Raw genomic sequence first — 27941 nt, forward strand, 5'->3', positions numbered from 1 at the left:
TACCTCTCCAGTGTTATGAAGTTCAAGTTAGGGGTGAAGATTCCTGAAGGCCCTGGTCCTAGGTCATAGTTGTTCCTGATTAAAGGGGAGACGGACAAGTGTTCAAAAGGGTCAAAGACATAGTCCCCTCAATTGAGACTTCCTTCTGAAATTAATCAGAAAGTTTAAAAGAGAGTTCTTCCTCATTTTGTTAATTACTTTCACATATTAATATATATTAACATTTTATATGGTAATATGTTTTTGACATTCCCCTCTAAAATGTTCTCATGGGCTGGCAGTGGTTTCTTATATTATGGGAGCCCTACTCTTTACTGAATTTTGTCCTTCTGTCATAGGGTAAAACTTTTTCGTCTCTACAGAACTCTCTCCAAGTGCACACCCATAGATTGGTTTGCTTGTGGAATCCTAGCATATCAGAAATGAAGGAATCTCAGAAATTGTTTTCATCAAACACCTCATATGCAGAAGGCAAAATGAAGGTTCAGAGCAGAAATGATTTGTCCAAGGATGCAACACTCATCTGCAGCAGAGGGAAGCTGAGCTCTGCAGACCCACCTAGCACTGCAGAGGCAGCCCTCTAGGACAAGGCTTCATAAAAAAGTGACTTTATGAGTTGGCTCCATAAAAAAGATACAGATTAAGAAATTGTTTAAACAGTGATCTCTATATAATTACTCTTTTATTTAAAAGTATGGGCTGGGAGCGGTGGCTGACGCCTGTAATCCCAGCACTTTGGGAGGCCGATGTGAGCAGATAACCTGAGGTCGGGAGTTAGAGACCAGCCTGACCAACATGGAGAAACTCCGTCTCTACTAAAAATACAAAATTAGCAGGGTGTGGTGGTGCATGCCTGTAATCCCAGCTACTCGGGAGGCTGAGGCAGGAGAACTGCTTGAACCCAGGAGGCAGAGGTTGTGGTGAGCCGAGATCGCGCCATTGCACTCCAGCCTGGGCAACAAGAGCGAAACTCTGTCTCAAAATAAATAAATAAATAAGTATTCCTTTCCCAGTCTTTTGCTGTGTGGAGCCAAGATTTTTATTTGCAGAAGTCTGCAGGGCTGGTGTGATCTCTTTCAGTCATAAACCATAACCTTCCTAACGGGCCATCTGCAATATCCAGTTGTGTTTTCTCGAATGTGGGGAAATGACTTAAAGACACTTCAGAATCAATTGGAGGAAGGGACCGTTCCAGAGCTTAATTTTCCGTTGTGTTTTAGAGTTCTGTTGTCCACACCTAATTTGTCAGAAATGGTTTTAGTCATGTTGTTTTGTAGAATCTTTCCACAGCATTTATGCTCCTTTTCATAGAAGCGGCTCAATCTGCTCACGGATTTATATAGTATAGATTAAAGGAGGGCAGTGTAATAATGCCATAACAGAGGCTGGTACTAAGCTTAAAGCACCCCTGATGGGAGCAGAAATGCCCTGGCAGCTGGAGAGAGAGCCAGCACCTAGAGCGAGCGCCCCCTGCTGGCCATGGAGGGGAATGGAGGGTGTGGGATCCCCTGCAAGCAGGTTAAGTGGAGGTTGTTTCAAAAGCTTCTTCTCTAATCTTTCTGGATACTACAGATGATTTACATGAAACTCAGTGTGATGCTTTAATAGACCAATGAGATCAAGTTAACAAATAGATCCTAGAAATTATACTATTTTTAATGTTTGTGAAGTACCTGCTCAGCCAGGTGTTGATGGAGGACAGAGGATTAAGAGGAAGCCTTGAGTTACAGGGACCGAAGCAGCTGCTGTGTGGATTCAGATCTGGGCGATACCGCCCCAAGGCTCGTTCTTCCAGCATTTCTATCATTCTCTCTCTCTGTCTTATAGGCAAATGAGATGATGTTTCCGGGTCAATACATGACGGGATTAACTGGGATAGAGAAACGTGGTTTTAGGATGTGAGTCTCCAAAATTTCTATGGTTCAAATGTGGGATCTCACATGATGGTCTTGGGCAAAGAGAATATCATTGATTCTCAAGATTTAAACACAGGAGAGCCTCTCACTCCTCCCAAAGCTACGAAGGGGATGGAGATGGCCCAGGGACATTCGAATCGGAACTCAAGATCAGTATTGGAGACCCCACCCTGTGACATAGACATCATGGACAAGTTCCTTGAATGTTGGAGCTTTATTTTCCTATTTGATAAAATGAGAATTATAGCTTCTGTGGAGGGCACGGGGGTGGTCTCTGAGGATCACAGGAGATAATGCACATCGAAATGCTTTGAAAAGCATCAAGTACTGAAAAATGTCCAGCTTAGCTATTAGTAACAGTGACTGTGTTGGGAGTCTGGGCTTTCTCCTGTCCAGCTAGAAACACTTTTATTGTGCTATTTTTAGTGTTACACCTGCACATGCTTGTTTGAGCAGGTATTAATGGTATAAAGATGCCAGGCTCAGGCCCACAGTGGGCCAGTTGTTCTATAATTTGTTCTATAATAGCATAACTTGACAACAGCTAAATGCCATAAAATGAATTGAGGATGGGGTGTGGGGGTGAAGACACTGCCTAACTCCTCCCCACTGTTGGGGAATGATATCCAGCCTGTCACCCACTGATGGCAGGTTATGTAGGAGAAGCAGATCTATTAAAATAGAAGCACAGCTGCATGCCATGATTACTTCTCTAAAGTTATTGTCTAGCTCTGCACTTGATCCTCCTCTGATAATACTCAAGAAATAGAACACCAAAGTTTGCTTGTTTTAAATTTGGTAATTAACGTCTGTTTTGCTTACACTAATGGTTTCTCGCGGGAAGGATGCGTGCATTATTAAATGTTGCTTAAGGAAAAGAAAACGTTTTGTGTTGGTTAACAATTTTTGACTACAAATAATAGAAAACGATACCAAAGCTGGCTTAAGTAAAAAAGTAATTTAATGCTTTCTATAAATAATAAGCCAGGGGTAGCATGGCCAATTTATCCAGTAGTCTCAATAGACACCATGCCTGAGGCCCACTGTACTATTAAAGGGTTCATGAAAATATTTTAATTTTAATTTATTTTAAAATTAGAAGAAAAATCACTATAACAATATTTTAATAGAGTAGGAATCCACAAAGCAAAAGCTTCTGAAGCACCCAAAGTCATAACATAGCCCTGAGGTGTAGGCCTGCCTTCAGCCTTCATTTGCTATCAAGAACACACCAAACTCCTTTGACTTCCCCCTGCTCTCTCTTCTTTTTTATGCCATGCTGTTGACATTCAAAAATAGGCTTTTCCTTTGCCTCCTACCATCATTTACTCTGTTCACCCCACTCTAGCTCCCTACTCTCCTATTTCCCCATACTCCAAGGCTGTGTCTGCAGCAGGATCTCTGCCCTGGGTCTTCTCTCTGTCTGAAGTACGTTTCTTTCAGGTAACTTTCTCATTTTACTTGCTCCAGGAGTATTCTTGGCTTCTCAGAGAGACTTTCTTTTATATGTAAAAAGGATAATGAGGCCAGGCATGGTGGCTCACACCTGTAATCCCAGCACTTTGGGAGGCTGAGACGGGAGGATCACTTGAGGTCAGGAGTTTGAGACCAGCCTCGCCAACACAGTGAAACCCCGTCTCTACAAAAAAAATATATAAAAAATTAGCCAGGCATGGTGGTGGGCACCTGCAGTCCCAGCTACTCAGGAGGCTGAGGCAGGAGAATTGCTTGAACCCGGGAAGCGGAGGTTGTGGTGAGCCAAGATCATGCCACTGTACTCCAGCCTGGTGACAGAGTGAGACTCGGTCTCAAAAAAAAAAAAAAAAAAAAAAAAAAAAAGATAATGGATGAATCAGTGAAAGACAGATGCACCAGCCCAGACTTCAAAACCTCTGGATGTCAGCTTCCACGCAAAAGGGTGAGAATCTCATCTGTAGATGACCCAAGGGAGTCTCCCCAGCGCTCCTTAGCTCTCCCCAGTCAGTGCTCCTTAGCTCTCCCTGGCTCTCCCTTAGCTCTCCACGCCCAAGCCTGAGCCAGTCACTGTGGAGAGAGGCAGGAACACACTGCTTGGCTTAGCTGTTATTGTCTAAGTTTCCTCTGTTAGCAGAGGTTGGGTTCCACACGGGCAGAACTGAGAGTCGGAGAGGGATGGTTCTTCAGCGGGAAAGAAGATACAGTTACCAGAAAGGCAATCAGAGTGAATTTACCTGCAGAGCAAAGATAATGCCTGTTTCTTAATTTCCCACTCTAGAATTTTCTTTTGATTAGTTTTGTGCATCTATATTGCTTCACATCTTGATTCTGGTAGTTGTTCATATTTATCACAAATTAGACCATTGAACATTTTAATATTTTTTTCCTTAAAGTGAATTAGTAGCATTTGTTGTTTTTTCTTCAACTTTTATTTTACATTCTGGGGTACATGTGCAGGATGTGCAGGTTTGTTACATAGGTAAACGTGCGCCATGGTGGTTTGCTACACAGATAAACCCATCACCGAGGTATGAAGCCCAGAATCTATTAGCTATTCTTCCTGATCCTCTCTCTCCCCCGCCACCCTGCGACAGGCCCCAGTGTGTGTTGTTCCCCTCGATGTGTCTAGGTGTTCTCATCGTTCAGCTCCCACTTATAAGTGAGAACATGCAGTGCTTAGTTTTATGTTCCTGCATTAGTTTGCTGAGGATGATGGCTTTCAGCTCCACCAACGTTCCTGCAAAGGACAAGATCTCTTTCCTTTTTATGGCTGCATAGTATTCCATGGTGTATTTGTACCACGTTTTCTTTATCCAGCCTATCATTGATGGGCATTTGGTTTGATTCTTTGCGATTGTGAATAATGAGTAGCATCTATTTTAATTTTGAAAATTAAAACAGTTTTATAAGTAAAGGAGACTATACAGACACATAAAAAGAATAATGTTTTGACATGTTTTGGAGAGAATTAGTTTTAATGAAAATGAGAATGTGAGAAACCCCAGGAATTGATTTCACCTTGCAACTGAAGAGACTATGTTATCATAATAAGGAAGATTGTGTTGTCACAGCATTTTGTTGAGATCACTACTGGATTTTCTGAAGCACTTTGAGATAGAAGAATGTCTCCCCAGGGGTATCTGCAGAGTCTAAACTTATCAAAAGACTGACAGATGAAATATCCAGGGAGCTTGTACAAATCAATGAGCAGAAGATGAACCCCTCAGCATATATGTGTGAGAATGCTTACTGCAGTGTTGTATCTTGGAGATGTGTGCTTCAATGCAACCTGGGTACCCACCAATGGGAGAGTGGAGTGGTTAAAAAGTGTTATTGGAAAACTGTCCAGCATTGTGCCATACTTAGGAACAAAAGAGTGGATTTAAAAATAGAAACAGAGGTAGGTGTTTTTAAAAAGGTATTGTCCTGAATTAAGAAAGAGGCAGAATGAGTATATTATTTACCCCAAATAGCAATATATATTGTGACAGAACACATAAATATCTTCATGACCGTAACAAAATACATGTGAATTTTATGTAAGTGGCTGGCGATAAAGAAATGAAAATGGTAGTAGAATGTGGGGGTTATTGTTTGTTTGTTTGCTTAGACAGAGTTTCACTCTTGTTTCCCAGGCTGGAGTGCAGTGGCAAGATCTCGGCTCACTGCAACCTCCACCTCCCAGGTTCAAGCGATTCTCCTCCCTTAGCCTCCCGAGTAGCTGGGATTACAGGCACACACCACCACGCCCAGCTAATTTTTGTCTTTTTAGTAGAGTTGGGGTTACACCATGTTGGTCAGGCTGATCTTGAACTCCTGACCTCAGGTGATCCACCCGCCTCAGCCTCCCAAAGTGCTGGGATTACAGGAGTGAGCCACCACACCCAGCCTGGATGTGGGTTTGATAAGGAATAACTACTAGGCAAGCCACTTGAAATCATTAATATTTGATTGCTTTTTTATCTTACAAAAGTGGTAATTTTACATAGTTCAACATAATGAGTGAACAAAAAAGGATTCTTTCACAGACCAATAATAATAACATGCCCTGAAAGATAAATGAGGTGAGGTTGACCCTTTGCACCTGTGTTGCAATAAACAAAACTAAACTGCAGATTCTTCTGTAAAAAAATATGCTTCCCAGACGTGGTTTCATCTTGCAATTCGATTCCGCTGAATAAATGGACTTGGTTTCATTTTGCAATTTTATTCCACTGCTTCTAAATGTTGTTATAGAATGATCCAAGTAACAGAAGGTCCTGCCCGCTAACAGAGAGAGCCACCCTGTCTGGAAAATGCCATCTGAAAAAAAATGACTAAGTTATTTTCTCTTGGTGACTTCAAACCCACCAAGTTGAATACAGAAAGGTAGAGATGGTTATAAGAATAATGCTCTATTCCAGCAATTGATTGATTGCAGTGGCATTTATTCATTTTGCTTTTTAAGAGAAAAGCAGTTTTCTTCTGCTTTTATTAGTGTGCTTACAGATGTGGAAGGGAACCAAAGGAAGACAAATGAAGCATGAAGCTTTCTGTTGCTCCATGGATCTGTCTCTCTTCAGTGTCTCCTCACCGCCATCTAAGCAGTCATAGGGACCTCTCATTTCATAGAGGTCTTGAAACAGGACAAAAGTGCCTAGATAAGTCATGTGGGGTATGTGTCCTATCTGTTAAGGAACAGTGATTAGGAAGCGGGAAGACATAGAAGAAAGGATACAGGGACATAGTAGGAGCCCCTGGTCTGAGTCCTTATATGTAAGTAGCTTTACGCATGTGATTTTGGCAACTTTCTTCCCATTTAGACCTTAGTTTTATTGTGTAAAAATTAGTTGGTTGGAGTGAATGAAACCCCAAATCTATACTATGCTAAAGCTTTCTGTGTTTATTTCACAAGTTAAGGAGGGTTTTGTCTTGTTTTGTTTTAGTTTTTTGTTTTATTTTTTGAAGAGCGTGGGTCTCGCTTTGTCTCTCAGGCAGGAGTGCAGTGGTGTGATCATAGCTCACTGCAGCCTCAAACTCCTGGGTTCAAGTGATCCTTACATCTCAGCCTCACAAGAAAATGGGATTACAGGTGCATACCATCATGCCCAGTCAATTTTTTTTTTTTTGTAGAGATGGGGTCACATTATGTTACCCAGGATGGTCTTGAACTCCTGGCCTCAAGTGATTCTTCCCGCCTCAGCCTCCCAAAATGTTTGTATTACAGGCATGAGCCACGCACTCAGATCTTTTCTATGTCTGTAAGTATAATGAATGCAAAGAAGATCATTGAAGAGAAGTGACTGATGGATCATAGCTTGAGAGGCTCCTAACCACTCCCTGGATCCAACTGCCTTTACACGGCCCAAGGTCCCATCTCTCAATTACTGGAGCCAGTGGCAGCCTCCCAGATTGTATTTCTTCATCTGTGAAATGGGATTTTCAACCATATTTATCTCATGTGTTTTCACTTGGTACAGTGTCTGATATTCTATAAACTCCCAAAACAATAGCTATGTTCATGTTGAAAATATTTTCCCTCCAGTAAACATAGTTTAAAATCGCATTCCTTTAGCCACTGTTAAGTTGAGGCATCTTCTACAAACATTCTGTTTTCCATTTACATTTTGACTTTAGTAAATTGTCTCTTTATATTCATTACACATTTTTTTCCTATTTGGTTGTTTAGTTTTTCGTATGATTTAGTATATTACGATGTTAAGCTTTGTTTTTCCTAGTGCATGTGTAAAAGACTAACATGGACTGCAAGTGATGTGTAAAGATTATCATCAAGAAGTGCAGTGTAATTTTCTATCCTTGTGATGTAAGCTTGCCTCAAGGTGTGCTTTGGCCAATGGAATATGGCAGAAGAGTCATTGGACCACTTCTGGGCGTAGGCTTCAAGAACCCTTGCCACTTCAGTTTGTTCCCTGTTAGAATGTCTAAACCCTGAGGAGGTGGGGGAAGAGGCGGGGGAAACCCTGTATTTACGCTCTAGAGGTTGAGAAGCCACATGGAGAGAGAGACCTGGCCAGCATCAACTTCACAACAGAGCTACCGGATGACTACAACCATATGAGTGACCCAAGCTAATCCAGGTAGAAGAACCAGTATGCCAAGCACAGCTCAAAGTGTAACTCCAGATTCAGAGCAAATAAAATGGCTATCACAGCCACTATGTTTTTGGGTATCGGATATGCAGCAATAGATGACTGATCACACACACACACAAACACACACACACAAACTTGAAATCCTTCTGTGCGTACACATTGAGCATTATCACAGGACGGGGAGATTATTACTGAGATTTTGGGGGACAAAAATTTTAACCTCTATTTTGTATATTTTCTTATTGCTTGAGTTTTTACAATAAGCAAGCATAACTTTTTACACAGAAAACAGTTTTTTTTTTTTTTTTTTTTTAAAGATAATAGTCTGGCTCTGTCAATTGGTAACATGTCTTCTTCAGGACAGTGATTTTTGTTACTCTGATATTTTTTTTAATCTCAAAATGTTATCTATGCTATGAGCTTCCAAAATCTGATTTGAGGGTTTTTGAAATACAAGAATTTACATTTGATTATCTGCATTTTGGCTGGATCCTTCTTGACTTGAGCAGAGGATGTCATGGTCTAGTTTTAATACATGTAAAAGGGAAATTTTAAGAATGAAAAGCTCAGTGATTAATTTAGGAAAATGTTCCACCTTATGTACAATATATTATAATTGATGAAAGGGATTATACTGTCAACACAGTTTTGAGCTTGCTGTTTTCACTTCAAAATATTTTTAGACATCTTTCCATGTTGACACAAACATTCTACCACATCAATTCTATATAGATTCTATAATCTATATAATGTAGCATTGTATAACCGTGCCACAACCTATCAACCAGTTTCTTGTTGATGCACATTAGGGTTTGCAGGTAGTATTTCTGAAAGCAAACAATGCTTCAGTGAACATCATTGCACACATATTTTGCATTTTTGCAATAGGTCCTTAAGGTCCTTCTGCCAGGGCAGAAGTTGAATGTCTATATTGCCATATTGTTTTTAGGTTTTTCTCCGATGGACAGGACCTGTGTTTCTCAGTCCCCTGTGAAATTTGGTAGGGGTTGCAGGAGACAAATGTGTAAAGGGAATACAGAATGCAACCAGAGACCCATGAATACCAGGTGTGCTGGTTATTCTCTGTTTCCACCCCATCCACTTGTAACTCCTGTTCACCACACCTTGTGCCCAGGAACTGACTCCTCCAGACCTCATCACCCAGCTCCTCTACCAGCCGTGATAAAGGACTGTGGTCAGTGTTGGTCAGTGGGAGGCACCAACAGGGGTTTGGAAGGTAGAAAGAAAAAGACTGGAGGGTTTCTTTCCACTTGTTTTCTGCTTTGGCAACATGGTTCTGGCAACGGCGGCATCCATTCAGAGCCACAGCCCCTCTCACATAGCCCCTCTGCCATGGAAGTAGCTTTCGAGGGGCTCCAGCAACACTATATCCTCCTCTTGGTCCTTCAGATCCAAGGATGATAACAGCTTTCTGATGATACCAGTTTCTGGGTTCCTCAACACCCTTCTTACTCTTCTTAACCCTGTAAATATTCCCTTCAAACCCACGAATACTTTCTTTATGAAATTTTATCCCATAAACCCATTTGAGAGGAATCTTATTTCCTGCTAGGGCCACTATTGATTCACCCTTCTTGAGTGCTTGAATTTAATTCTGTGGGCAATAGGCACAAATAAGGAAAGCCTGGATTTGGTCATCACTACTTTGCCCTACCTCCCTGCGGTAGCCATTGGGAGAATGGATAGAGCAACTCCTACAATATCACATATACTGAGGCTTTGGAACATTTTAAATTATGTTGGATCTGGAAGAACATGAGTATTCCTTCAGTGGCAGTTCATGAATAGGTCAGGGTCTTTTAGTAGAAAGGCCTTTTATTCATTTAATACTTCAGTACAGTTGCTTCGAGGAATTTCTATGAACATTCAATGTGCAATATTGTTGAAAGGTTGTTAAGGGAGTTTAATTCATTGAGATTTATTTAAGTTGCAACAGAACCTGGCATCCCATATCCTCCTGAATTATATTACCTTCTCTACTACAAATTTCTCACTGGGTTGAGCAGCAGCAAATGGCCAACCTTTAGCTCCAATTTTTAAAGCAGAAATAGTTGGAAAATGGACCCTGAGACTATGTTGGTTTGATTTAGCAAACACATAGAACTGGGTAGAAGAGAATGAGATTTGTTGTTAGTAATTTAGCCATTTCAGGGAATCGTTGTGAGATGTCAACTTCCTAGAAGGATTAAGTGTTCCAGGAAATAAGTACTAAACTTCAGGAAAATAGACTAACCTCGATTTTGAAGGTAATTTGCACTTTTCTACTGCACATTTTGCTTATTCCTTGAAGTATAGTTAAATATAGGTTGAAATTATAAGGCAAATCAAAAGGCTGGTGTACAGAGAAACATGGAGACTCTGCCTCATTAAGAATGCTGGGCTGTCATTTGGTAGTATTAATTTCCAATTGCTGCTATAACAAATTATCAAAATTTTAGTGGCTTAAAACACTAGAAATGCATTATCTTACAATTCTGGAGGTCAGGGGCTTACATTAGATTTTGATAAACTGAAGTCTAGGTGTTGGCTGCATTCCTAATGGACGCTTCAGGGAAGAATGCTTTCTTTATCCAGTTTCCAGAAGCTGCCCATGTGCTCTGTTCTGTGACTCCTTTCTCCATCATCAAAGGCAGCAGCATGGCATCTCAATTTCCCTCTGACTTTCATCCCCCTGTCTCACTCTTTCACTTATAAGAACCTTTATGATTATATGGAGCCTGCTAGATTATCCAGAATCTTCTCCCCAGCTCAAGATCCTTAATGTAATCATGCCTGTAAAGTTACTTTTGATACGGAAGGCAACATATTTACAGGTTCTGTGGATTTGAACACGGACCTCTTTAGGGACCCATTATTCTATGTATCGCATGTAGCATATAACATTTTCCATTGCAAACAACAGAGCTTCAGATTATCCTAGGAAGGGATGTATTGACTCATGAATTGGAAAGTGCTTCAGTGAGTGAATCTGGAGATACCTGTATGTGGATTTTTATATCTATACTCTATCTGTATCTCTATCCTTCTATCTTGAAATACTAACTGATCAGAATCAATTTGTTTATCATTCCACGCTTTCTACATTGCATTCAACTCATATGTTTTCAGTGTTCACTACATCTTAGGCTCTTGTGAATTAGATATGGTCATTTCCTGAGATACTCACAGCCTAATGGGGAAATGAATCCATCTGTTTTGTGACACACATAAGCAAAGGGAGCATGACAGGGGAGGACTACCTGCAGCAGATGGGACATTATTTACAGCAGCTTGCTCTTACGTCCTCCCAAGGTTCTTGATGGACATGTCACTTATAGCACTTGCCACATTCTGTTTCAATAATGAGCTTGTTTCTCCAGCTTTTCTGTGAGTTCTACAAAGATGGAGAGAGTCAGGCATCTGCTTCTTTGCATTCATAATTCCCAGCACAGTGCCTGGCATGCAGTTAGTACCATACATTATTTATCCAATGCAGGTTATCTCATGGGGCTAAGTAGTTGTTGCAGCTGTCCCTGCAGGCAATAGGCTGGGACATGCATGAGTGATGGGAGCCGGAAGGGACTGAAGGCCTCTGCCCCATCCAGAGGGAGGATCAGGGCCTCAGCACAAGGCAATCCTTGCCATGTTGGAATGTGTGCTCAGTGCAGTTGGATCTTCCTGTAATCTCAGAATATTGGAAAAGTTTTCATGTTGTGTGAAATCTAGGTTTGTTTTCTGTTGGTAACTAATATTCGTGCTTTAAGATACAGATAAGGCTGGGAAAAAAAAAAAAAAACAAAAAAATGCAGCCCGCTCTCTTCCAGTATTTGATCTTTGATTAAAAGCTTGTGGCCATTTTTCGCCTTCTAGGATGGTAAGGGGGAAGGGGCAGGGGGTGGAGGGGAGCTGCTGGAGAGGTCTGGATAAAAACGTGACTTAGAGGGATAAATGAGCCTGCAAGGGTTGGATGTCCATGCCTTCTCTGACATGGAAACCTCATGCTGAAAAATGCAAACATTAGCACCTTATGGCACAGCTGTTCCCAAGCCCTTGGGGACATTTTGTCTCCTTCTGCTCTTCTTTGCTAGGCTCTCCTTTGAAACTTATGTAGAAATCAATTATCCAAACTGGGGACTGGAATTCCAAGATACCCACTGGTGGTCGTAGCTCCCTTTTGCCTAAATCGGCTGCCATTCACGACTTAGCGAAGTTGCAAAAATTTCAGATGGCACAAGAAAAGGAGAATGCTGCAGAAATCTCTTTCTAGAGTTGATTGATTGACTGAAAAGAGGAATCATCTCCATCATAACATGTCTTTTAATTAAACTATTAATTTTAATATTATTAAATATTAATATGTGTATTAATTTTCTCAATGCCAATCTGACTACCCTAAGCAGACTCTAAGCTCCAAGTAGTCAGAAAATTTTCATCTTCTAAATTACCCAGCAAAGAGGGCAGCTGATAACAGATATTTTTAATATGTTGAATGTTTACATGAGATCAAATAAAATTTGACTTAGCTTATGATTTCATGAGACATTTTGAAAATTTTGATAAAGGGGTGTGGTGAAACATAAGAATTACTATGTATCTTTCTTTACAGTCTCATTACAATTAGGCCTAAACATTTTAGATGTTTATAAACAATGTTAAAACAAGGACATTTATCTGATAAGATCTGGTATCCATAAGAATGTTACATTTATGTCTGTCTTAAGATAAAAAGTTTGAGAAAAATTTTTTTGACAGCAAGAAAAATTACTTGAATTCTAGAGATCTAGAAAGATTTTGAATTCAAGTGAATGATGCTCTTTAAAATACCATTCTAACATCCTTAGAAATATATTTCCACTAAATGATTATAGGGATGGACAATCAGCCGTGTTTCCTGGAATGCTTAGCCGGGCTGGGATGATCATGGCTCAAGATTTGGCTTTCCAGAGCACAGCAAAACAAAACAACACAAAACAAAACAAACAAACAAACATTCTCTTTAAGGAAGCTGTTCAGGAAGGCTTCATAAGTACTTTTCCAGGGCTGATAGCATAAAACCCAACCCCTAGACATAGCATGAGGCCTTTCCCATACTTCTCCAGATTAATTCTTTCATTGATTAACTCCTTCCTTCTTCCTCCTGGCCCAAAGAACATATCCCAAAGCCACAAAAATAGCCATCTTTTCAGAACACCTTGGGCCACAGGTAGATGGGATTATTGCTCCTAAATTTTTATTCTTCTCTACATTAGAATCTATACCCTGTGTGAAGTGAGTTTGCAATTCCTCCCACGGAAGCTTGGCTGGGCCTTGTATTTTGGTCAATGAAATGTGAGCAGAAGTGACTGATTGCAAGAAAAATTCTTAAGGGTTACTGAAAAGCTTCTGTCTGTTCCTCTTATGCTGTTGCCATTCTCCATGTAAAGAACATGCTGTACCCAGTAACTGCTTGCATGAAAAATGAAGAAACACCTGGAACAGACCTATACTTGAGACTAGGGTTGTCTGTTACCCAGCATTGTTGCAGCAATAGCACAGTTACACCGTTGTTTGTTTCTCTCCTCCTTTGCCAAACCCATTTCTATCTCAGGCTGAGGCCATTCCCATTGCCCAGGGACTTTGCTCCTCCCCACCAGTCTCACTTCCCCTCCCCAAATTATTCAACAAGATAATGTGCTCTGTTTATTAGGTTTTAGCTTAAATGTCACATTTTTGGGGTGAGAGAGGGGAAGAGAGGGCTTCTTTAACTCTCAGTATAAATAATGACTTTGCTTTGTGTTTGCTGTCTTGGTAGCTTGTTTATATTTTTCTGCAGCCCTTATGACAATTTAAAATCATATTTATGTGTGAATTGGTTTCATGTCCTTCTTTCTCTCCTAGCCATGGAAACAGAGATCATGTCTATTTTATTTCTCACCATACAGGCAGTACATATAGTGGCTAAAGTCATGGGGTTCTGGAGGCTGGGTGAAAATTCCAGCTCTGCCCCTTACTAACTATTAACTATTGACAGCTGTGTTACTCAGCCATTTAGCTTCCGTTTCTTTACTTCTACAGTGACGTCATAACAGAAAATACCTCACATGTTTTTCATTCAGAACAAGAAGAAAAGGCACATAAAGCACTTAGAATAAATTTCTATATCAACCCACTCCGTTGGCATTGTTAGTGTCTTATAACCCTGATCATTTCAATATCTGCACTTAGGACCCACTGTGTAAATATCTGTTGGATGAATGGATGCATGCTACCTCCTATGATGACAGTCTATTATGACAGGGCCTTGTCTTTGGTCATAAGGTAAAAATGTGGTGGGTCAGTAGACGCCTGGTTACTCTGCAAGTTTCCCAGCTCCAAGAGTATTATCACTAGCATGTCAGTATCACTCTTCTTCATATCCTAACAGAAAGCATCCTAGCATGTTATCTGGTGGGGAAGGTGATGGTTATACATCTTGTTGCACAGTAGACAAAAGAGAAGACTACTCAAGGAAGAACACTATCTTTGGAGAAGAGTGGGATGAAACTTGGGAGGCATCTGAGTTACACTGATTTTTTTTTCTTTTTACCATATAAACATGAAGCTTTGGAGACAGAAAGGGTGAAGTTTGATTCTTAAATGCAAGAGGTGGGCAACTCCATGGATGAGATATTTTCACATTCATGTAAGCACGGCTTTCAGATGTGAGCTCACCTGTGGATGAAGCCCCTTAGTCCTCAATCTTCCTCTGCATCAGGCTGTCTTTATCTTGTCTGCAGTGCTTCAGTCAAGGTGATCAATGACCTTCTCCACATGTTTATTCTGCGGCTGTGGCCGACACTGTTTCAATTAACACAACAGCCATTTTCACCACCTTCTCCTTTGTCCCCTCCCACTAAAATACCTGCAAAGCCAGGCACTCACTTTACCAAACTTCCTTCTAACAAGAGGTGGCCATGTGACCCAGTGCTGGCCGATGAGGTCTTAGACAGTCATTTGAGATTTCTGGGAAAACTCTTGCCTCCTTAACAAAAGGAAAAATATGATAGGAACCTTCCCTCTTCTTTCTGCCATGAAAAGGCTGTGATGGCGAAAGCTGTGCAGCCATCTTGTGAACATGATTTGCTAAGCAGGAGAATGAAAAATCAACATTGGAGGATGGCAGACATGGATTGTACAAAGGGCCCCTGTTTTTGGTTTCATTGCTAAACCAATGCATCAATCTAGAATCACCTACTCACAGTTTTCTCCACTAGGAGATACGTAGGTGCCTTGACTGTGTGAGCCATTATTTTAGCAATTTCTGTTACTTGTATATAGAAATGTCAGAATCGTTATAGCACTGAATATTTGGTTCTTCACTAAACCCCTGAGATATACATGATAGGGATATGGTACCAGTGACTCACTTTCTGAGTAGACAATGAGACATATATAAGTAAAACAGAAAGTGATAGAAGAGAACACACAGTGGCCACATCTGTCCAGCTCATTTGTTCAATTTTCTACATAATTTATCCCCAAAGTACTGAATCTGGAAACTTTAAGTTCTACTTTAACCATTTAAAATTTCCCCATATGTTAGATTTGGAAACTGATCATTAGGGAGTTAAAGTAACTCTCTCAAGGTCACCAAATCAATAAAAGGTGGAGCTGGATTTCTAAACAAAATCTTCACCTCCTAAGTAGCTGCTTCTGAGCCCCATGCATTATTGCTGTCAATTAACCTAATTAATACTTAGTGTCTAAGTTACTTAATCTCTTAATTTTATTTCTTATTTTCTATATCAGGAACAAGCCAGAATACAACATTTATTGTTTCATTTATTTTTTCATTCATATTGCCATTCTTTTATCCAATCTTCTTTGAGAGTTTACCAGATAGTTACTACTTTTTCTTGATCTTACTGGTGAGAACATTGAGGCTCAAAAGGATTAAATGATTGCCCCAGGGTCACACAGTCTATAAGTAGCAAAGCGGGAATTTGAATGCTGACCGTTCACCTGTGAAACTGTCCCTGTAAACTTTAGAAAATGAACCAGGGAAGAAGGAAGCTGGGGAAAAGGAACTGAACCCAGCTTGCAGCACGCTTAGCATTCACCATGAGGGAAGCCTGCTCTCTGAACTGCTTCCTGCTCTCTGAACTGCTTCCTCATAGCTGTTTGGTGCTGATTGCCTCATAATCACATAGAACCTGTTCCAAGATTAGAGTTCCATGTAACTGCTCTGTAATTAACAACTTGAACATTGGAAAATATTGTCCACTTGGGATACTGTGCTAGTCCATTTTCATGCTGCTGATAAAGACATACCCGAGACTGAGTAATTTATACAGGAAAAAGGGTTTAATGGACTTACATTTCAATGTGGCTGGGGAGGCCTCACAATCATGGCAGAAGGCAAGGAGGAGCAAGTCATATCTTCCATGGATGGCAGCAGGCAAAGAGAGAGCTTGTGCAGGAAAACTCCCCTTTTTAAAACTGTCAGATCTCATGAGACTTATTTGCTATCATGAGAAGAGTATGGAAAAGTCCTGCCCCCATTATTCAATGACCTCCTACCAGGTCCCTTCCAAAATACATGGGAATTCAAGATAAGATATGGGTGAGGACACAGCCAAATCATATCAGATACCCTTTCAATCTGGTATACCAGTGAAACTACTAACTCAGCTGGTCTGAAGGACCCTGCAAGAAACTGTCTTACCAAAGAATGCAGTTTCCATGTCCTGATGGTTTATCCCTCCTATCCTAACCAATCAATGACCCCAATCTTCCAGCCCCTCAACCTCCATGAACAGCTCCAGCCCAGAAACCCTTGCAGAGATGGAAAAAACAGTCTCCTTCCATCTCCTCACTTGGTGCCCTGCAATTATTAAACTCTTTCTCTGCTGCAAACCCTGCTGTCTCAGTGTATTGATAAGTTACTATGCAGCAGGTATACACATCTGTTGGTCCTTTAACATGTATTCCATTATTTGTTCATTCACTCATGTTTTTGTTCTTTCATCCAACATTCCTTGAGAGTTTACCAGACGGTACTATTTTTCTCAATTTACTGGTGAGAAAATTGAGGCTCAGAGAGGTCAAATAATTGTCTTAGGGTTACACAGCCCATGAGCAGCAGAGCAGAAATTCAAACTCTCAACTGTTTGCCTGGATAGTCACAGCCTCTCTGTTTTACTGCCTTGCCTCACCTGCAGGTGCAGTGGGCATGGCAGCCTGCTGTGTTCCTCTCCAGGTCCCAGGGAACAGCTCTTCAATGGGGTTATGCTGGGTACCTGTTTATTCAAAGACAAAATGTTTCATGAGGGTGTTGGGCTTACCCGGGGTTACACAGGAAGTCACTATCTAAATCACATACATCCTGTGTTAGTCCCAGTGCCCATCAGTCCTTTTCTGATCACCACTCAAACTGGCTTGAGTGAGAAAGGAATTTATTAATTTGTTGATAAGTCCAGGAATACACGAGTTCCAGGTGTAGCTGGAACCAGTAGCTGAAGCATTTTTCTCAAGACCTGCTTTCTCTGTCTCCCTGCTCTGATTTCACTTGTGCTGGCTTTTCTTTCAGGCAGACTCTCTTCAATTGGTAACCCCTGACAGACACATGCTCTTGTCCTCGCAGAAGGCAGAAGATGTCCCTTCTCTACTCTTGCCAGCAGTTTCAGTGAAAGTCCTGGACCCGACTTCCTGCCCAGATAGAGTCTTGCATCCATCTGATATGGTTTGAATAACTCTCCCCTCTAAGTCTCATGTTGAAATGTGACTCTTGCCTTGTGGAAGGTGTTTGGGTCATGGGAGCAGATGTCTCATGAATAGGTCTGTGTCTTCCCCATGGTAATGAGTGCTAATGAGTTCACATGAGAGCTGGTTATTTAAAAGAGTGTGGCACCTCCCCTCTCTGTCTCTTGCTCCTGCTCTTACCATCTGATATGCCAGCACCCTCTTTGTCTTACATCATGATTCTAAGCTTCCTGAAACCCCACCAGGAGCAGATACTAGCACCAGGCTTCTCATAGAGCCTGCAGAAATGTGAGCCAAACTAAACCTCTCTTCTTTATAAATAACCTAGTCTCAAGTATTTCTTAATAGCAATTCAAGAACCGACTAACACACCATCCCTGAATCAGTCACCGTGGACAGAAAATGGAATGTTCTGATTGTTCAGGCCCAGATTATGTGCCCTTCCTGAGCATGTGGTGGAATCTGGAAGGACTGTGAGTGCAGCTATGATAGGAGTAGAAAAAAAAGGACTCCAGGTCAGCAAAACAGCAAACATCCCCTGTGTCAATGCAGGTGCACCACACAGCATTCATAAATGAGCATTCTTCAGGAAGAGAGCCATAGTGAGGGCCCTGGAACCATGCTGGACACACAGTAAATGTCAGAAACTGTCTGCTAAATGCAGTGCATCTAAACAAAAAAGGGCTCTGTTAGTACTGTATCTGGAAAAGCTTTATTCAAAAAGAAGACAATGCCTTGGAAAGCAAACTTCCTAATCATGCTGGACATTTCAAGGATGTATTTGCACTTTAAAAATGTGGTTGAGAAGATATGCTTGCAAACTTGAAACTTGCTTTCATAGTCTAGTTAAAGAGAAAAGTTGTTCACTAGACACTTGTTGATAAAGGGAAGTCGTATTTTATTCAAAGGTATTGCAATAAGGGAGAGAGACTGAACTCAACTCTGAATACAACAAGGACAAGGGAGGATGTTTAGCAAACTAGCTGAATAAGGAGATCAATGGATGGAAAAATAGGCATCAAGTGGAAAGGGGCGTTTGATAAACTGACCTAGAAAGATTCTTGTTAAGGGCAGACCAAAGATTTGGATGTCAAGGGCAGAAAAAGAAATATTTTATGATAAATAAAATTGATGGGTGGTTCTCAATATGCTGATTTAGCAGGCTGAAGACATGAAGGTCTTCAGGGTCAAAGCTTAGTCAAGGACAAAGATCAAAGAAATCAAACTAAAGTGTGGTCAAGAAAGCAGTCTTCGTCAGTAAACAACAGAATCCTGGCCTTAGCAGAAAGTCTGTTTTTCCTGGTTCCTCCACCCTCATGATTTTGAGTTTTTAAGGGTTAGTGTATTTTCTTTTCTTATTCTTTTGTATTTTTCTTTTGTAGAGATGGGGGTCTTTCCATGTTGCCCAAGCTCATCTTAAACTCCTAGGCTCAAGCGATCAACCTGCCTCAGCCTCCCAAAGTGCTAGGATTACAGGCATGAGCCACTGTACCCAGCCAGGGCAAGTATATTTTCAACTAGTGCAGGGACAGCAGTTCCCTTGTGGTGTAGAAAAGCTTCCTGGCCATAAAGCTGGGCAAACAATTAGAAAAACATTTAAGTGATGATTTAATATAAATAAGAATATTACAAGTTGAGGGCTTGATATTCCCCTATTAAGCATTATTAGTCAGAAATTGCACTGGATATGTGTGCAATCTATTTTACTGAGGAAAAATATATGTAGACTATAGACTTGCTAGTGTAATTAACAGCATCCTTCTAGTGAATTTTAAAGCATCCAATTTACTCAGATTGTAGTTTTCATCTCCCTACACTTGCTAATCAGTCTGTCAAGCATAATAGCCATTTTGGGATGGAAGTATTTAATCCTGTGTGAATGGGCTTATCAGTATGCCTTAGGAAGACAATATATGACTTCCTGGCAAAGAAATGGCTGCAATTAGGCAGTGATTATGAAGTGTACTTGTCATTATGGTTTTAAAAATCATACCAGGCTAACCTTGTGGTAGAGGAACTCACAAGGTACAACTGAAGGTTCAAAATATGATTACATTTGGTGACTGGGAGCATTCTTGACTCTTGACTCAAGGGTGTGGTTCTGAAATCTCTGAGTCCATCCCTGATGCAAAAAGATCAGCTTTAGCATCTGGCTCAATGGATACTGGGGAAATGTGTAGCTAACACAGGACCCAAAGTCTTGGGGAGGGTCATGCCACCATTAGCTTTACAACCCACTTGTGAGTGTGCCGATGTTGGAAACTTGAATCTCCTCATTACTTGGGGACCTAACTTCTTGTATCCCACATCACTGTAACAGTGAGAGAAATCTAACACAGCTGAATCAATCTTGTTTCTAACCTCACTAGCTAACTGCCTTTGATCATTACTATATGTAAAACAAGCTAATGATGGGAGGAAATTAGTTTATAGTTTAAAGCAAGGATGATAATAGCCACTTTCAAAAACTCATCCCTGAGGAGATAAAGAGGGCCATACACATAAATAACCATGGTATGTTAAATGTTTATAGGAGCATTGTGACCTGACCAAGGACAAAGAAGCTTCACAACCCCCTTAGGCTCCTGCCAATGCCTTGATGTCTGCGGTCACCTGTTACCCTCTGATCTCAGGCCCCTCCTTGATTCCCCTTCACCCAAATAAAAAGAAGCTTGGAAGTCATGCCTTTTAAGATGGTCCTTCAGGACATTAGTATGCCAGCTTCTCAGTTTGCTGGCTTTCTGAAATAAACTAGCTTTTCTAGCCCCAGTGATAGAGGCAGGAGGCAGAGAAATCCTAGGCAGACAAGGGCGGGTCCCTGGTAAAACCCCACCTTCAAGCAAAAGACAGTTTAAAGCCTGAAGGCCAAGCTACAAATCAAATCCACTCACCGGGTTGAGAACCTGTCTTCCTGTTTGACACACTTTCCTTTAGTTCCCACCCTTCACCTATTTTACATATACCTACCCTTCCCTAATTGCTTTTACACTGTGCCCACCTTTGAGTGCTACCTTTGTTTTAATCTTTTTTGCATATTCACAAATCAATCAGCATGCACTTCCTTATCCTGTGCCTATTAAAGCCCCAGACTCAGCCACACTGAGAGAGACCACCTGACTTCAGGAAAGAGATGACCCCACCTTCCCATCCTCTCTCTGCTGAGAGCTGTTTTGTTGCCCAATAAAATTCTCTGCTCTCATCACCCTTCAGTTGTCAGCATGACCTCATTCTTCTTGGACACAGGACAAGAGCCTGGGAGCCATCAAAGGCAGGTACCCAGGAAGGATGTAACACTGGCCCTCTTCCCTTGCTGGCACTGGTGGAGAGCAGTCACCCCACATGATAGAAGCAGCGGCAGGGCCAAGCCAGCCCCAGAGCCACACCAGTCCCAGAGTCATGGGCCGGAGTGGGGCAAGAGGCTGGCTGAGCTGCTAACACACTACTGCCCATTGGGCTGTGGATGGTGGAACTAAAAGAGTTAATTAGCACACTGTAACACCCCGTCTGGGGCTTCAGGGTCATTGGCACCCCTGCTTGGGCCCTGCAGCATTCCCCTTGGGGTGACATGCCTGGTCTGGCCGCAGGCCCCGCACAGAGTTTGCTCCTGTGTCAGCCCTCAAAGGGGCTGATCAGGCCCTGCACTCACTCACACACGTGCTCCCTCCTGCCAGGGGCTGAGCGTGGCTGGCGGAGTAGACAGGGCGCCCCTTGCTGTGAGTCCAGCAAAGGGGCCAAGAACAATTCTGCATCACCAACACCTTGTCTCTCAACTTATTGACTATTGTACAGCAAGCAGTGTGAGCTTTGGATTCAACAACATGAGTAAAGGCAAATGTATTCAGAGTAGGATTAAGTCACTTCGCTTCTTGTGTTCAGACTTGAGATTTTTCTCTCCCTAATTATATATTTATTTTTTCTTTTTGTTTTTTTTCTTTCTGTGAGATGGAGTTTTGCTTTTATTTATTTATTTATTTTGTTTGTTTGTTTGTTTTTTGTTGTTGTGGTTGAGACAGAGTTTCGCCCTTGTCTCCCAGGCTGGAGTGCGATGGCATGATCTCTGCTCACCGCAACCTCTGCCTCCTGGGTTCAAGTCATTCTCCTGCCTCAGCCTACCATGTAGCTGGGTTTACAAGCGTGCACCAACACACCTGGCTAATTTTTATATTTTTAGTAGAGACAGGGTTTCACCATGTTGGCCAGGCTGATCTTGAACTCCTGACCTCAAGTGATCTGCCCACCTCAGCCTCCCAAAGTGCTAGGATTACATGTGTGAGCCACCATGCCTGACCTCTCTCCCTAATTATCAAGGAGCCATAACTAATAATAATTTTGCATAGAAGCAGAATGTCTGGAGCTCCTGATCTCCCTGTAAATATAAAATCTAAGTTACTTTGCCCTGAATTTGGGAAATATCTGTCAGAATTATACTGTGACTCAGAATCACATGGCAGATACAATGGACATGATTTTTTGAGTTAGAGTTTAATGGTCTAGGGGAAAATGTCAAAGTCAAAATATTACAGACTATTTTAGGGCTACTTCAATCTGAAAAACAATCTTCAAAATCTGAATATTCTTTTTTAACCTGAATCTGAAAATCAGAGTTTAGCCTAAGCTGGAGAATTATAGAGACCTGAAATGTCATTCTGTTCCCAAGAGGAAACCGCAATAATTTTGAGACTCTAGAGTGAGGAAGAAAATTGTTTTCATCCACTTTTGATTGGTCGTGGTTTCATGTTGAGAACAGTTTTAACAAACAGGAAATCTGTCAGATTGCTTAGTGATATCGGTCATACACGAGATGCATGTGTCCTGTGTTAATTCTCACCACTTCAGGGCAGTGAGAAAATGCAAATGGTGGAATCCCACCCAAGTCAGTCTCTGCTGATTCTCTATTCTTTTTTGTTTGTTTGTTTTTTGTCTTTTTTTTTTTTTTGAGACAGTCTTGCTTCATCGCCCAGGCCGGAGGGCAGTGGCACAATCTCAGCTCACTGCAACCTCCACCTCCTAGGTTCAAGTGATTCTCCTGCCTCAGCCTCCCAAATAGCTGGTATTACAGGCGTGCACCACCATGCCAGGCTTATTTGTATATTTGTATTCTTAGTAGACACTGGGTTTCACCATGTTGGGCAGGCTGGTTTCGAACTCCTCACCTCAAGTGATTCACCTGCCTCGGCCTCCCAAAGTGCTGGGATTATAGGCGTAAGCCACCACGCCAGGCTGATTCTCTATTCTTCCATGAAAGCAAAAACTCAGATCTGGCTAATTTTCAGAGGCATCATGGCTTAATGAAAAGTACATGGACTTTGGTGTTATAGCTAGTGGTTAATCCTGGTTCTGCTACTTAACGAAGTGTGAGAACTTGGGCGAGTTACTGAACATTTCAGAGCCCAGTTTATCATAGGAACTTGGGCAATACTGATGTCTCTTTTAGAGAGTTGCAGCTGTGTTGAAGTGAATAACACTGTCAAGGGACAGGGTTGGCATCAAGTAAATTACTCAAAACAGTACTACTTTAAAAACACAATCTTGACAGGGGAAATAGCTCCTAGTCTTATATTTAAATAAGTGATAGGGATTAATTTTGTTTAATTTATGCAAGTAGCTCATGAAGTATAATTTTCTAAATCATAAAATTATGACTCTAAAAATACATAAAATTAAACCTGTATAAATTTTCTTTTAATTACTACTTAGAGAACCAGTAACATGGTAGGACTGGCTTAAAGAACATTTTTAAAGCCTAATATATAAAAGCAACATTAATATATGATGTATGAGTTATATACAAAAACTGGCTTATATTCAATATGACATATTTTGGGGGGTGTTATCTGTTCCATCAAATAGAAGTAATTTGTATCTCTACCAGGACAAAAACAACCTTACTAAGTCTGGGATGCTTATTCAATAGTATCAATGATGAGTTCACTTCCTAGCTGATTTTGCACATGGCATTTGGCAGGAGGGTTCAGTTCTTCACTGGCTTTTGATAGGAGTATGCATTTGTTGTTGTTGTTGTTGTTGTTTGTTTTGTTTTGGCTACATGGGTTTGAGTGTCTTGCTGAAATACGGCCAGATTTTCCTAGAGTAAGTGATGAGAGAGAACAATGCCTTTTATTTTCATGACTTAGCCCAAAAGCCATATGTAGTAGTTTGTTTTCATACTGCTAATAAAGACATACCTGAGACCAGCTAATTTACAAAAGAGAGAAGTTTAATTGGACTTACATTTCCACATGGCTGGGGAAGCCTCACAATCATGGCAGAAGGCAAGGAGGAGCAAGTCACGTCTTACGTGCATGGCAGCAGGCAAAGAGAAAGAGAGCTTCTTCAGGGAAACTCCTCTTTATAAAACGGTCAGATCTCATGACACTTACTCACTATCAGGAGAACAGCATGGGAAAAATTTCCCCCCATGATTCAATTATCTCCCACTGCATCTCTCCCACAACACATGGGAATTCAAGATGAGATTTGGGTGGGAACACAGCCAAACCATATCACCATATATTATTACTTCTGTTTGTAAATTACTTCTGTGAGTAACTCATTTGGACTCTCACTCACTGAGAGGGGAAATAGACTTAACATGATAAGGGAGGGTTTGTTAAAGAAAAATTTGTGGACATATTTTAAAGGCACCTACCTAACAAACAACCTCAGAACCTCAGTGGTTTGAAACAATAAGGTTTATTTCTCACTCATGCTATAGGTTCTTCAGTGATCAGTAGAGAGGTTCTGTTCATTATGATCAGATGCACAGGACAAATGAAAACCACTGTATTGAATACTATAGATCACTCTGGAAGAAGGAAAACAAGCTTTGGAGAGTCTTCAGCCAGCAGTTAAAGACCCCCATCTAAATACCACATTATTAGAATAAATAACAAAAACCACATAACCATCTCAGTATACCCAGAAAAAGCATTTAACAAAATCCAACACCTTTTCATATACATTTTTAAAAAACCACTCAATAAATTGGAAATAGAAGGTAAAGGACATCTACAAAAAACTCCACAGCTGTCATTATAGTTAATAGTAAAAGACTGAGTTATTTTCTCTTAAGATCAGGAATAAGACATGAATGTCTACTCTTATAACTTCTATTCAAAATTTTCCTGAAATTATCCAAGATAATTAGGCCAGAAAAATAAATAAATAGCATCCAGTTTGGAAATAAAGAAGTAAGTCTATTTATATTCAAACATGATATGACCTTGTGTATGGAACATCTTAAGAAATCCACTTAAAACCTATTAAAACTAATAATTAGTTGGACAAAGTTTCAAGATACAAGATCAATATACAAAAATAAATTGAAATTCTATATGCTAAAAGTAAGCAATCCAAAAATGATTTTAAGAAAATATGTAATTATATTTATAATAGCACTCAGAAATAATATGATATTTAGGAATAAATTCTTAAAAGGAAGTGCAAAACCTATGCATGTAGCACTAGAAAACATTGTTGAAAAGAATTAAAGAAGATTTAAATAAATGGAAAAAAATTCATGTTTGTGGATTGGAAGACAATATTGTTCAGATGGCAGTACTCCTCAAATTGATCTATAGATTCAATGTGGTCCCTATCAAAATTCTGGCTGGATTTGTTGTATAAATTGAGAAGCCTATCATAAAATTCATATTGAAACACAGGGGACTTAGAACATCCAAAACAGTTGAGAAAAATAACACATTTAGAGGACTCACACTTTCCAATGTCAGACATTACCCGGGCACAATAATTAAAGAGTGTGGTATTGGTATAAAAAAATGACACACAGACCAGTGGAATAGACTTGAGAGCCGTAAAACGTACCGTTACATTTATAGTCAATTGATATTCAACAAAAATTCCAGACAGTTGAATGAGGAAAAAAATAGGAAAAATAGTCTTTTCCACAACTGCTGCTGACAAGTATGTTTTGGATCCCTTCCTTACACCACACACAAAAATTAACTCCAAATGATCCACAGACCTCAATTAAAGAGTTAAAATTGTAATACTCTTAGATGAAAGTATAGGATTAAATTTTTGTTGCCTGGGTTAGGCAAAGCTGTCTTAGAGACAACACTAAAAGTACAAACAACAAAATATTTTGTTACTACCTGTCTTCCTGATGTGCGTCTAGTCTAGGCTGTTTTTCTTGTTATTGTTACTGAGACGAGAAGTCTTCTTCCGACCGAAGGTTCTTCTCAATCGAAGGGTTCGTGGTCTCACGGCTTCAAGGAATGAAGCCGTGGACGGCAGTGGCGAGTGTTACAGCTCGATTAGAGAGTGTGCTGCGGCAAGATTTATTAAAGCGAAAGTGAAAGGAAAGCTTCCACGTGGGGGAAGGGGACCTGGAAGGGTTGCTGTTTCTGGCTTGGGTATCTTATGCTTACATCCCCTTATGACCCCTGCCCTCTTCCTTTTTCTGTCCTATAGAATCAGCTTATTTTCTATCTGCTTGTGGGTTGGCGGGCCTAGTTGGTTAAAAACATCAGGCTGAAGCTAGAGCTTAAACTCCCTATATGACTGGTTCAAGTTTCAACCACTTAGCTTGCAGCTATGAGTCAGTTTGTCTTAGGGGAAAGTCCCCTTTGATTGGTTGAAGTTTCCATCCCTTAGCTTTCAGCTATGACTCATTTTGGCTTAGGGGAAAGTCCCCTTAGGGAAGTCCCTATTGACCCAGGAAGTCCAGCCAACTTAGCCACTTAGTCCCTCATTACAACTCTTCCCATTTAACTGAATGAACCACTCCTTTTTAAAAAAATCACCACTTTTTTTTTTTTTTTTTCTTAGAGACGGAGTCTCGTTCTGTTGCCCAGGTTGGAATGCAATGGCGCGACCTTGGCTCATTGCAGCCTCCGCCTCCCGGGTTCGTGCCATTCTTCTGCCTCAGCCTCCTGAGTAGCTGGGATTACAGGCGCTGGCTAATGTTTGTATTTTTAGTAGAGATGGGGTTTCACCATATTGATCAGGCTGATCTCAACCTCCTGACCTCGTGATCCACCCGCCTCGGCCTCCCAAAGTGCTGGGATTACAGGTGTGGGATTACACCGCACCTGACCTAAAAATCACCACATATTTTAAAGCACTATTTGTCTCAGGGCATTGTGGGATTTCAGTGATGAACTGGATTTAGCTTTTAGGTTGAACAGGAAACGTCAATAGAATTTTCGGTTTTCATGTCAGTGCAGATCTCGCAAAATAAAAATAAATGTGGCATTGGCTCTAAGGGCAGGGCCCATACACTAGTCCAGGCTATTCTGTAAATGATTAACACATCTCCAGGAGGAGATTGCCGCCCCAGAAACACCAATTCTGCTAAATACTGAAAGCAAATCTCACACTTGGGTTCTTGAGATCCCATAGAGTGTGGCTTTGCCATTCTAATCTCCTGGGGAGAGGGGAGATGTGGCAGGAAGAGACCACTGCACAGAAGACTCCTAGGCTGATAAGAATGTGTGAAGATGACCTGCAGATGAATATGCAAAGGAGAGTGCATGGAGACCACCAGCAGAGGACTAAATTAGAAGAAACAATCTGGAAGGGTGCAGGCACTGGTTTGGCTGCCATTAGTCTGAAATCCATACAGGAATTCAGAGGGGAGACACATGTTGCTAGAGAGACCAATTCAGGGCTAGAGAGAGGCAGAAGTGAATCTTCAAAGACAAGAGCTAAATTTTCAGCTGTAAGGAAGGAAAGAGATATTATACCAAGGTGCCTTGATTCTGATGGTCATGGTAAGTCATTCATTCATTCATTCATTCATTCATTCATTCATTCATCTGTTCGTTCATGCAGATTGTGGTGGTGGCACACAGGAGTTTAGTTTCAGACATATTAATTTAAAGATGCATAGTAGATATCTAACTGGAGACAGGTATTGGTAGTTGGATGGAGGAATCTTGAAGTAGGAAGAAATATTCAGGCTGAAGATATGAACTCTGTGATTTTTATTCTTATGTTTTTAAACTATTAATATATACCTTTTTCTGAAATCAATGAATTTCCCCAAGCAACTCCAGACAGATGTCTGGGGCCTCATTTATTTATTGGTTTCATAAATCTGAGCCCTCTTTGATTTAGCGTTATACAGCCAGCCCATCCCGGGCCTGATCTTTGCCATCCTAATCATGAACTAAGCCCCTGCCATGTAATTGTGTGTCTACTCCTCTGCCTCCGGGGATTGTAAGTACAGTGTTCTTCTTTATGCATCAAGATGTTATTGCTGAGATGTGAA

General features: G+C 40.9%; 1 long non-coding RNA gene across 1 annotated transcript in view, besides 2 other annotated features; it reads right to left on the reverse strand.

Annotated features, from left to right (window-relative positions):
- Nucleotides 1–26005, reverse strand: part of LINC00944 (long intergenic non-protein coding RNA 944) — a 41562-nt gene extending 15557 nt beyond the window's left edge. The window contains exons 1-3 of the long non-coding RNA NR_033878.1: nucleotides 25822–26005; nucleotides 1674–1870; nucleotides 4–75 (exon numbers count right to left, since the gene is read on the reverse strand). This is a non-coding gene — a long non-coding RNA (long intergenic non-protein coding RNA 944). The remainder of the gene's footprint in view (nucleotides 1–3; nucleotides 76–1673; nucleotides 1871–25821) is intronic.
- Nucleotides 25579–26778: an enhancer, noted in NCBI's record as "P300/CBP strongly-dependent group 1 enhancer chr12:127256382-127257581 (GRCh37/hg19 assembly coordinates)". NCBI's record gives its function as "activates an origin of replication core promoter dependent on BRD2, BRD4, P300/CBP, MED14 and CDK7 cofactors, with strong dependence on P300/CBP, by STARR-seq in HCT116 cells {active_cell/tissue: HCT116}" and the evidence as "EXISTENCE:reporter gene assay evidence [ECO:0000049][PMID:35650434]".
- Nucleotides 26254–26333: an enhancer, noted in NCBI's record as "active region_7323". NCBI's record gives its function as "activates an Ori minimal core promoter by ATAC-STARR-seq in GM12878 lymphoblastoid cells {active_cell/tissue: GM12878}" and the evidence as "EXISTENCE:reporter gene assay evidence [ECO:0000049][PMID:35858748]".

The sequence above is a fragment of the Homo sapiens genome, chromosome 12, assembly GCF_000001405.40.
Source record: "Homo sapiens chromosome 12, GRCh38.p14 Primary Assembly".
Taxonomy (NCBI): Eukaryota; Metazoa; Chordata; class Mammalia; order Primates; family Hominidae; genus Homo; species Homo sapiens.